General features: G+C 40.1%; 1 protein-coding gene across 7 annotated transcripts in view, besides 1 other annotated feature; it reads right to left on the reverse strand.

Annotated features, from left to right (window-relative positions):
- Nucleotides 1-12,213, reverse strand: part of USP31 (ubiquitin specific peptidase 31) — an 88,047-nt gene that overhangs the window by 21,265 nt on the left and 54,569 nt on the right. For all 7 annotated transcript variants that reach the window (NR_170599.1, NM_001387221.1, NM_020718.4 and 4 more), the window contains 5 exons: nucleotides 7,954-8,134; nucleotides 5,054-5,165; nucleotides 4,422-4,516; nucleotides 2,915-2,992; nucleotides 2,190-2,319 (listed from right to left, as the gene is read on the reverse strand). Coding sequence is in view for 6 of the 7 variants with exons in the window: in NM_001387221.1 (NP_001374150.1) it covers nucleotides 2,190-2,319; nucleotides 2,915-2,992; nucleotides 4,422-4,516; nucleotides 5,054-5,165; nucleotides 7,954-8,134 (596 nt within the window). In the remaining variant the exon portion in view is untranslated. The remainder of the gene's footprint in view (nucleotides 1-2,189; nucleotides 2,320-2,914; nucleotides 2,993-4,421; nucleotides 4,517-5,053; nucleotides 5,166-7,953; nucleotides 8,135-12,213) is intronic.
- Nucleotides 10,926-11,472: an enhancer, noted in NCBI's record as "H3K27ac-H3K4me1 hESC enhancer chr16:23104917-23105463 (GRCh37/hg19 assembly coordinates)". NCBI's record gives its function as "activates a minimal SCP1, AML or CMV promoter by ChIP-STARR-seq in naive H9 embryonic stem cells {active_cell/tissue: H9 hESC(naive)}" and the evidence as "EXISTENCE:reporter gene assay evidence [ECO:0000049][PMID:30033119]".

Genomic DNA, 12,213 nt, shown 5'->3' on the forward strand with positions numbered 1-12,213 from the left:
AGATGCTGGGCATCAATGGAATAACACAATCAAAAGTAGCCAGAGCTGGCACCCAAACTCTAAACAGATTCTGGTTTGTTGAATAGATTATCCCTCAAAGAGGAACGACTAAATCGGTAAATACTGTATAAATGTTAAATATGTTACTTTCTTTCTCTCTCTTTTTTTTTTTTTTTTTGAAACAGAGTGTCACTCTATCACCCAGGCTGGAGTACAGTGGTGTGATCTCGGCTCACTGCAACCTCCACCCATCAGGCTCAAGTGATTCTCCCACCTCAGCCTCTTCAGTAGCTGGGACCACAGGCATGCATCACCACACCCAGCTAATTTTTGTATTTTTGGTAGAGACGGGGTTTTGCCATGCTGCCCAGGTGCTCTTGAACTCGTGAACTCAGGCGATCCGTCCACCTCAGCCTCCCAAAGTGCTGGGATTACAAGCGTGAGCCACTGCGCCCGGCCAGATGTCACTTTCTATGTGCCATGCACTGCTCTGGATACTGGAATTATTTAGTGATCAAGACAGATGGAGTACCTGCTCTCATGGAGCATATACTGTCTCAATTCTGTCCCTCACTTCCTGTCCTCCAGCCATACTGGCTTCATTTCTGTTTGACAGTCTTGCCAAAGGGCTTTTGCTTCCTCCTCCAGGAACTTTGCTTCCTTTATTTACTTGTTCCACTAGACTACAAACAGCATGAAGGCAAAAATGTTGTTTATGTTGGCCCCTGCTACTTCTTCAGTACCAGTACGATACCTAACATGGTATGTACTCAAAAAACACCTACTGAATGAATGAGCCCCTGTTAAAAGGTATCCTGCTACCATTCTAGATCAGTGAGATGTGTTGTGGAATACCAGTGCTGCCATCTAGTAGATTTGCTCATCCATTATCTTTGTGCCATTATCAAACATCTCCAAAGTCATTAAAAAAAAAAAAAAAAAGCTAAACAGGGCAAGGTGTCATAGAGAACCTACAGTCAACCAATTCCAAAGCCAACTATTTCATAATTGAGTGCAAACCTGGCGGGGGGGGGGGGGGGGAAGGGGTGAAAAAAAAAACCCATGTCTTATGAAAAACTATTATTAAAGAAACTAGCTAAAAACAGTGTGGGGGAGAGAAGACTCGCTGGAAATACAAAAGCTATTTTCAAATATTCGAACAACAGACAAAAATAATATTAGGACTTCTGAGTCATAATGAATTTAAGACAGAGAACAACTGTTGGCTATAGTAACCAGTGGACATATTTCAGGTTAACTTCAGTCACCATCAGAGCCATCCAGAGAAAACATGGTCTATCTCTGTCTTAACGAGGCAAACTACCTCATAACAAAAGATACTCAAACTCAGGCTAAGCAATCACCTATTTGAAATTAAGCAGAAGAAGAACCCAACCACCAGAATAAAAGAGTTTTAAAGTCCCCTTCAATCCTGAAATTGCATGACTCCATTTAAGAGTGAAGAGTTACAACTAGTAGTCAAAATTATGATCCTAGATATCAATGCAAGGTTAGATGACTCCAAGTACTCTAGTCAATGTTTATAAGGTGCATAAAAATCACACAGGCCTGGGCCCCACCCAAAGAGGCTTATTTATCCATCTCTCTGTCCATCCATTCATTTAAATACTTACTGGGTCCCTACTACCTGCGAAGCCTTGCTGTCTACTTTCTGGTCTATATCTACGCTGTTCAATATGGGACCCACTAGCCACCATGTGTCTGCTGAGCACTTGAAACATGACTAATGCAACGAAGGAACTGAATTATTTACTTCACTTAATTTTAATTAATTTTTTAAATTTAATTAATTTAAATTTAAATAGGTCCTGGCACTTATGTTCTTAGTACCAAAAAGTCAAGAATCACTGTTTAAGTTACTAAGGAAAAGATCTTAAAACTTCTAAATTGAGAAAGAAAATCACCAAAACTTGATCATTAACCATTAAAAAGAACTATGAAGGTTCATTTCCAGAGTACTTCAATTAATCACGGTTTTCTAGAAACTTACAACTTCTTGTTAAAGTCCTAAAAGCAAGAGCATTAAGATGCTCATTACATGTGCAGACTTACATATATGCAAAATCCTGCGGCGACTTCTGGGGCGTGATTTGTTTCTCCACTATCACCTTGCCATGCCCCACTCCCCACTGCCCTGAGCAACCAAGAAATGCTGCCCAGTCTCTTACCCGCTCCTCTTTGGTGTACAGTTGGAAACACTGGGATAAAGTGCAGGTTTGAGGCTGATGATGACGCTCCCTTTGCAGACGAACACTTTCTGCATCAGGAATATACTCATCCTCAGTATTTACAAATAAGCTGCAATTAGGGGGAAAAGCATCTATCAGGGAATGTCTTGCAAAACAGAAGGAAAAATACAATTATGGCTTCATGAAGTGACTACAAACTCATAACCGAAGGAAAAAAAAAATCAATGTGTAAGAAAACAAAAGTAGTGACCCAACTTTTCTATATTCCAAAATGTTCTTGAAAAGTTCTCTGTATACAAAGTTATTTCCAGAACTAACTTGATTTTTCTGGGTTTGGCCATGAACTGTACTGGTTAAACCACATATTCCTGTCCTTTACATCTAAGAACATGCATCTGACATTGCTTTCTAGAATTAATGGGCCTGTAATAAAAATCAAAGTAAATTGAACCTATATAGTAGCTAATGAGTATACAGCTTCTCTTTCAGCAGTGAACAAATGTTCTAAGGTTCTGGGATTGGGAAGAGAGAATGTATAGGAAAGGAATAATAAACTGCTTAAATAAAGGGTTAACAACACACCTGGATACTTAGCTAAAGAGAAGAGAGATTTGTGTTTCAGCTCATTTAACATATCAAAGGTGTGCTATAAAAATGATAATTAAAACAATGTTTCTATAAACACTAACTTTAAAAATACTCACAAATCTCTTGTCTCCTTGTCCCACTCGACTACTAATTTCACATGAGCAGTGCCACCTGGTCCACAAGATTTTAATGCCCTATAGAACCAGGGAAGTGGAGAGGGAAGCCACATATTATTTTCTAAACAAATGATTTTACTTAATGTGATTATGTCCTACCCAAAATCATAATTTCAGGTGATTAATGAAAATCTTCATCATAGTTCCCCATCAGAAAAAAGTTTTCAGCAAGACCACTATAACCACTGATTTAATAACTACATTTCAACTAAACTGAAAAACCCTTAAATTAAAAAGCCCAATACAGTACTAATAATAAAGAGGTTGGAAGAAATTTAGTGTCATAAGGTTGATGATCACTCTCAGATAGTCATTATGACCTTCCCAATTTCTTGCCCAATTTTTCACCCACCCAAACAGACACTGGACGGTAGTCCCCTGGGAACAAAGTCGCCCCTTGCACCTTTCCACCTCTCCACCAACATGCCATGCCTGCTCTAGACTGCACCCTTCTTCCTCCTTCCTCCAAAGCTACCCCCGTCCCAAGTTCACTGGCTCCTTGCCATCTCCTGAGAAACCCAGAACTCAGTTAATATTACCTATCTCATCTTGTTTGTTATGCAATATTTTGGATTGTTGTCTACTAACTCTCATCTCTAAACCCAAACAGTAAGCTTTCAAGCAGGACCATATTGTATGCTTTTTTAGAATCCTGAAATATAGGCACTACAATATTTGTTGAAAAAATCATTATAATAATTTTTATTATAAAAAATTTGAGTTTTCACATGTATATTATATATTCATAGATACATAGTGTGTATATATGTATATTATTTTATTAATACAATAGAGTATTATAACAGATTTAGACAGCACAGAGGTAGCAGAGTAGAGTGACTAATTCTATGGGGCAGGTTGCTGGGGGTGGGAGGAGGAAGAGTATAAAAAAGGGCTTAAAGGAAAGGAATTACGGACGGAGGAAACCACACATGCAAAGCACGCATATAAAATAGTATCGCCTGTTCAAACAATCATCTGTACTTTAATGCTGCTGAAAGGTTGGGATAGTGGGGAGAGGAAGAGCAAAGCCTGACAAAAGTAAGCGGAATTCAAACTGTGAAGAACTTCTTACATTGTGGAACACGGGCTTTATTTTTTAGGCCACAAGTTGCCATATAAGGGTTTTAAGGAAGAATGTGGCCTGATTAGAACGTTACTTTACAAAACTTCATTCCTGGTGAATATGAAAGTGTAATTTATCTACAGTCCTAGGACATACGTTAATTTGCTTTCCTAACCCAAGTCCTCCAGGGCTTTTCTTATTTCAAGAAAGATCATCAAACATATACCCAAGCACAAATCAAAAGTAAAATAAGTACTTAATTTCGAAATAAGCCTAAAGAACCCTGCACACTTATGTGGAAATTATATAAGACATCACTTGAAATCACACATGAATATGTGTGAGATTCTAAAAGGTAATTTAAAAAAAAATTTTTTTTACCTTTCTACTATTGGGTGGCACAAGGGCTGCTCCTCCTGGGGCAGCAAATATGTTATTCCAACAACACTGACCACACGCAAGCTGAATGGACACACCTGCATCAGATGTTAGATGAGAATTAAGCCAAATTTTTCTTCAAGGGCATCTGTTTCACAGTGGCATTTCCAAAACAGATTAGAGTTACAGTAAACTGTTTATTCTGCAAAATGCTTCACTATAAGATTCTATAAGGTTGTTGAGCCACTCTAATACACTTTAAATATTATTTACCCAAATGCGATTTACGTATCAAATATGTTATGCAAGACAAGTAACACATTGCCTTTACTAAACATCAGCTTAATGGTCTTCCACGGATACCTTAACATAGTAATAATTTTTAACATATACAGATAGACATTCTACTAAATCCTTTCCAAGCTGATCATGTATTGAACGTTATTAGATAAATATTATAAAGGAATATGCAGCAGTTCAAGGAAAACCTTGCAGTGGCTAGCTCTTTCATAAAATGAGGGATAAATTCTCAGTCCTGGAAATCTAAACACAAGAAACTCAAATTTCATTGTAATGTTTGTTTCTTCACTGAGTATATACCCATGCTATGCTGGAATATCAAAATGCTTACAAACCTGAATGCAAACCGTGGGCCTCAAGAAATACTTCATCTTCTCCAAGATTTCCTTCTGCAGAAGGTCCCAAGCTATTGTCTTCTCTAAGTGCAGCACAAAAGGCAGTCCAAATCTAACACACATCAACAATGTAATCACCTTTAAAGTACGGTAATTCCTTTAACACTGTTATCTTTTTTTCTCGATCTCTTAAAACGGAATCACAATATAATTGGCTTTAGGACAGTTCTCAAAATAAAAGAAACAGGAAATTTAATGGTAACTCTTCATAAGGAGATGAACAGCTTGGATTTCTAAATGAAATTTAATAGCCAATACACCAAAATGGCTTCTAGGGGAGTATGGTGCTAGGACAGCAGGTGGCAACGGGGCAGGATCAGTGAAGATGGAGAGCACAGGGGGTGGGAGTGGACATGAGCCTGGCAAACAGCACAGGTCGAACTCATAAGAGGTTGGGTGCCAGAGGACTAGATAGGGCTGGAAGGTCTCACAGACAGGCAGCCACATTCTTGAGTCTCTGACAACAAGGGAGGCACTGGCAAGCAAGTGACAGTGAAAGTCAGCTCCAGAGCTATGTCCCACAGAGTCCAAGCAGTACTGTGGTTCTTGGCCTCAGCTGCACAGACCGAAGACCAAAATCACAAGAGGAGCTTTAGAAAATAATGATGCCCAAGTCCAGCCCCCGGAGAGATTCTGATGAAATCAGTCTGGAATATGATCTGAGCACTGAGATGTTTTTAGGGCCTCTCTGGGTGGTTCTAATATGCAGCCAATGTTGAGGACCACTATCCTAGCCTCAACTCTCATCCACGCCCAGTCAGTCAAACCTGAATTCCCTGAATGTGTCCTACTCTCACACATCCATGTCTTTTTGTCAGGGAACTCCCTCTGCTTAAAATACCCTCCCCACCCTTCTGAGTCTAGGCTGTCTCCTACTCACTCATGTGAAGACCCAGTGGAGGTATTCTTTTCCAGGAGGCACCCTGTTGGCTTGTTCCCTGTGTATACTGTGCTATAAACAATGCCTGCTTATTTTTCTGCCTCCACCAATAGGCTGTGAGTTATTTGATAGCAAGCACTGTGATTTATTTATCTTAGTAGCGCAAACAGACAATGTCTAGAAAATAGATGAATGAATGAATGAACAAATGATCTAACAGATTAACTCTGACTCAGGCCCAGAGGGAAGTAGAGGTGCTAAGATCACCAAGAAACCAGTTTCCAACAACTATCAAACTGTTCGCTCACAGTGGTGCTTAACAGTGAACCAATCTGCCTAAAAACTACTGTGAGGTGAAATGAGTTACAAGTACATGTAAATCACCCAACCATATTTTTTTAAAATAATGACTTCACTCTTTAAGAGACTAGCATCATGAAGGGAATTCCACAGGTTCTTTACTTCATTCCTTCTGTGCCTGACACACACCAAGCTCCTCCTAGTCTTGTGTGCATGTACCGGGTGTTCCCTCTGCATGGGATCCTTTCCCCCCATGTTCACACAGCACACTGGGGCTCAGCTTGGCTGCGGTCTCTTCAGGGACGTCTTCCCTGACCTCCCTTCCTAATGTTGTCTTGCCAGCCTCCCACCATCACACTCTATCATTCTAGTCTGTTTTAATGCCTTCGACGTGGTACGGACTGTCTGAAGTTAAAGACGTCTGCTTGTTCATAGTCGGTCTGTCCTAGCTAGGATGGAAGCTCCATGAGGACACAGACCTTGCCTGTCTTGTTCCCTGCTGAATCCCCAGTGTTTAGAACCATGCCCAACACACTGTAAACACTAAAATACCTGTCAATGAATAGCATAAATATGCATATCAACACATTTTACATTTATGTTATTTACTATGCAGGGAACTTATTTCAAAGCAAAATTTTCAAAGGCTAACATAAAGGCTATTCTAACAAATGTTAAGAAACACTGAGTCCTTTCTCCTTGAAACATATCTGTCTCTTGTTAATACTCAGGTTACATTCCTACTGTGACAGAGTTACTTTAAAAGATAGTCTAAAACACCCATACACTCTTACAGAGGGCATTAGACAAATTTGAGAGAGATTTCTGACTCCCAAATTTCTGACTTAGAAACCTGAATGAATGTGTGGTGCCATTTGCCAAGATGGGAAATACTGGAGAGCCAGTTTTAAAAGGAAAGAAAATTTGGACATACTTCAATTCAACTTGGGACATAAGACATAAGTTCAATTTGGGACAGAAGACTGAGGGACATGCACCATCCAAGTAGACATGTTAACAATTAAAAAAATAAAAATAAAAAAGCTGTCAGGAAAGTAGCTGGAAATGGGTCTAGAGCCCCAAGAGGAGCCTGAACTGAAAATACACATATGAAATGGGACTTTTAAAACTAGACTCCTGGCCAGATGCAGTGGCTCACGCCTATAATCCCAGCACTTTGGGAGGCCAAGGCGGGCGGATCGTCTGAGGTCAGGAGTTTGAGACCTGCCTGACCAACATGGTGAAACCTCATTTCTACTAAAAATATAAAAAATCCGCTGGGTGTGGTGGCTGGCGCCTATAATCCCAGCTACTCGGAAGGCTGAGCCAAGAGAATCGCTTGAACCTGGGAGGCAGAGGTTGCAGTGAACCGAGATCGCGCAACTACACTCCAGCCTGGGCAACACAGCGAGACTCCATATCAAAAAACAAACAAACAAACAAACAACAACAACAACAACAAAAAACCCCAGATTCCTAATTTTACTCTCCCCCGACCAACCCCCCAAATCAGGTCAACTTGTACATGTATTCTTTCTAAATATCAGAATCAAAAATTAACTACTAAAAGTAAGAACTTTTTGCCCATGCTTTTTAACATGTTTGAAAATACTGAACTGTTACAGTCTAGGTACTTACTGGAAAATAATCTGGTTCTCACCTTTTCCCTTGTTGCCCAGTGCAGGCTCGGTTACACACCAACAGGACAATCTTGTCGCTGCCTGCTCTTGATGTGGGAGAATCCATTTTCCCCTGCTTTGCTGCTGTTTGTGTAGGAGAAGACAGTCTATGATAATCCAAGCCAAATTTCAAGTGGTTTAGGTTGTTGTTTAAATGAATTCCTGAAACAGAATAAAAACAACTCATTTTATCTCTTCAAAATTATTTTTATTCACTCGTTATGAAGAAATTTACCCAACAGAGAAAATTTTTTTTAAAAATGTCATTATGTAAATTAAACTGCAATCAAAAAAAGAAACATCCTACTTAGATTACTCATCTAGCCGTTAGAGAATTTCTTTAGCATCCATTATTATTTCCTTTAAACTAGCCTTACCTATCTTAAAAACTGAAAATTAAAACTGCACTTCAGTGAAGGTTAGATACAGTTTTAGAAGGGCATGTGTGCTGAGATGATTCACCAAGAAAATTTAGTGAGGTCATGCAACCAGTAATCAAACAAATTTTTAAAAAATAAAGATGTGGAATGTTCTTCAATATTCAATAGCAGTTTCTTCTCCCTGATTAAAGAGCCAGACTTATAAGAAATAAAAGGTAAATTACACACTACACCTACTAGACTCAGAGCCATCAGGAGAATCTTCCAACTTGGAATACAGTCTACTAGACTGGATCAATCCACATTAAAGTTAACAAAAATATATATTTGACAGGCACAGTACTGATCCTCCCAAATGCCCCAAAGCAGAGCTCCCTGTCAATCAAAGTACCCAGCAACTCAGCACCCAGCACAACCCCAATAAATGCCTGACTACCTGTTCATTCCTTTAATCCTTTGGAAGCACAGCCTAGGGAAATGACATCCCAGCTGGAAAATAGAAGAAACCCCTCCTGCCACCACCATTAATAATAATACCACCAGAAAGAGAATAAAATACAAATGGCCTACACAAAAGTATTTATAGCAGAATGCTGGCAATAACCTCAATACTCAGCAATCTAAGACTCACTGAACCTATTAAGATACCTCAACATTATAACAATTTAAAATGACAAAGTACATAGTTAATGCCAATATAAATTCCAGATAGAGTTTAAAAAAACAACACATACAAACTAGAAATAAGAAAAAAGCTGAATCTTTGTCAAGCCACTAGAGGGAAGAAAACTTTTTAAGCTTAAACACCATAAAGAAATCACAAAAGGAACAGGAGTAGATCTTACTTCCTAACCATTTTAAACTCTGGTATGAGAAAATAAAAATAATAGATATCTGAAGTTGAGACAATAAACTCGTTTCCCAGGTTCTTGGCAGAGGTAAGGGTGGGAAGATCTGTTCTCCTAGAATAGATGTGGACTCCTGACGAGATAAGGGGATGCCACATTGTCAACTGCACAGAAATCAAGCTCTGTGTTCAAACTGTGGACCCATTTACTGCCAGCTGTGTGAGCTGGGAGTGGTTACTTCATCTCCAAGTCTCAGCTTCCTCACCAGTAATGTGGGGAAAGCAGTAGCCTCATTATATATTGAATAAAACATCTGTTAAGGCCTTAGGATAGAGGCTAACGCAGACTCAATAAGGCAGTCTCTGGCTAGAATACAATAACCTTTGGATTCACCAAATTCACTTATAAATAGAAGCTTAGTGTTAACCCTAAGCAACTGGGGTGGGAACAGGATTTTGAGAAACTTTCAGTTGAACAAACATTACCTGGGCTCTTGCTGCATATTAAGAACTATATTGCACTGCTGGGTATAACAAGATAAAGCAAAATGTGGCCCCAGCTCCAGAGAACTTCACAGTGTGGTGGGAAGGACAGAGAAGAAAACAAATCATTTCCACATAACACGCTGGTGTGAGAGATTAACAGAAGTTAACTGCCCAGAAGAGCAGGAGTTCGCCAGCCAGCCTGCAGGTAAAGGGAGTGAGGAAAGGCTCTCTGGACAAGATAATTTAGGTATTTTTTACTGTAATGCAATAAAACTAGAAACAATCCAAACAAAAACACATACAGGGAAACGTAACAACTGGAAAAGAAACACAAACAAGCACCTGGGTCAAAGAAGAATAAGTGAAATAATAGACTATCTAGAAAATATTGTAAATATGAGTAGACCAGAGAAAACTGAATTGTAAGCTGGCATTGGAGAAAGCTGGCCAACCCAATATACAGGATCACCGAAAGAATCAGAAACTGGAGGTGCCAGAGGCCTCTGGAAGTAGAGGGTAAAGTAAAAGAGGAATTAAAATAAGGACTTTCAACAAGAGCACCAAGACCATTCAATGAGGACAGTACAATCTCTTCATCAAATGGTGCTGGGACAAGTAAATATTTACTTGTCCCAGAATGGAGTTTGGTCCCTACCTCATACAATTTATAAAGGTTAACTTAAAATGTATCAACAACCTAAATGTAAGAGCTAAAACTACAAAACTCAGAAGAAAACACAAGAGTAAATCTTTATGACCTTGGATGTGGTGACGGATTCTTAGATATGACGACAAAATTATGAGCAACAAAAGAAAAAACAGACTTCATCAAAATGAAGAACTTTTGTACGTCAAAGAACACTATCAAGAAAGAGAAAAAACCCAGAGAATGGAATAAAATACTTGCAAGTCATATATCCCATAAGGGTCTAGTATTATACATCCTTACAAAGAATTCTTACAACTCAACAAAAACAACTCAACAAAAAGATAATGCAATTTAAAATGGGAAAAAGGCTTGAATAGACATTTCTCCAAAGAGAATATATAAATGGCCAAACAAGCACATGGCAAGATGTTCATCATCATTTACTATTAGAGAAATGCAAGTCAAAACCTCAATGAAGTAACACTTCACATTCACCAGGATGGCTAAAATCAAAAAGATGAAAAATAAATGTTGGCAAAGATGTGGAGAAATTAGAACTCTCATCTATTGCTGGTGGAAACGTAAAATGATCCAGCTCCTGTGGAAAACAGTTTGGCAATTCCCAAGAAGACAACCATAGAATTATGATATGATCCATCAATTCCATTCCTAGGTACATACCCAAAAGAACTGAAAACAGGTATTCAAACAAATACTTGTACACAAATGCTCATAGTAGGACTATTCATAATAGACAAAAGGTAGGAAAAAAACAAATGCCCATCAATAGATTAGTGGATAAACAAAATGTGGTACATGCATATGTATGTATGGAATACTGTTCGGCCATTAAAAAGGAATGAAGTGGATCCGTTCCAAGATGGCCGAACAGGAACAGCTCTGGTCTGCAGCTCCCAGCATGATCGATGCAGAAGATGGGTGATTTCTGCGTTTCCAACTGAGGTACCTGGTTCATCTCATTGGGACGGTTGGACAGTGGGTACTGCCCACGGAGGGTGAGCTGAAGCAGAGTGGGGTGTCGCCTCACCCGGGAAGCTCAAGGGGTCGGGGGATTTCCCTTTCCTAGCCAAGGGAAGCTGTGACAGACTGTACCTGGAAAAACAGGACACTTCTGCCCAAATACTGTGCTTTTCCCAAGGTCTCAGCAACCGGCAGACAAGGAGATTCTCTCCCATGCCTGGCTCGGTGGGTCCCATGCCCACGGAGTCTTGCTCACTGCTAGCGCAGCAGTCTGAGAACAAACTGCGAGGTGGCAGCCTGGCTGGGGGAGGGGCATCCACCATTGCTGAGGCTTGAGTAGGTAAACAAAGCAGCCAGGAAGCTCAAACTGGGCAGAGCCCCTCACAGCTCAGCAAGGCCTGCTGCCTCTATAGACTCCACCTCTGTGGGCAGGGCATAGCTGAACAAAAGGCAGCAGACAGCTTCTGCAGACTTAAAGGTCCTTGTCTGACAGCTTTGAAGAGAGCAGTGGTTCTCCCAGCATGGCATTTGAGCTCTGAGAATGGACAGACTGCCTCCTCAAGTGGGTCCCTGACTCCCATGTAGCCTAACTGGGAGACACCTCCCAGTAGGAACCGACAGACACCTCATACAGGCGGGTGCCTGTCTGGGACGAAGCTTCCAGAGAAAGGATCAGGCAGCAATATTTGCTGTTCTGCAGCCTCTACTGGTGATACCCAGGCAAACAGGGTCTGGAGTGGACCTCCAGCAAACTCCAACAGACCTGTAGCTGAGGGACCTGATCATTAGAAGGAAAACTAACAAAAAGAAAGGAATAGCACCAACATCAACAAAAATGACATCTACACCAAAACCCCATCTGTAGGTTACCAACATCAAAGATCAAAGGTAGATAAAA

Source organism: Homo sapiens, chromosome 16 (genome assembly GCF_000001405.40).
Source record: "Homo sapiens chromosome 16, GRCh38.p14 Primary Assembly".
In the NCBI taxonomy this organism is placed as follows: domain Eukaryota; kingdom Metazoa; phylum Chordata; class Mammalia; order Primates; family Hominidae; genus Homo; species Homo sapiens.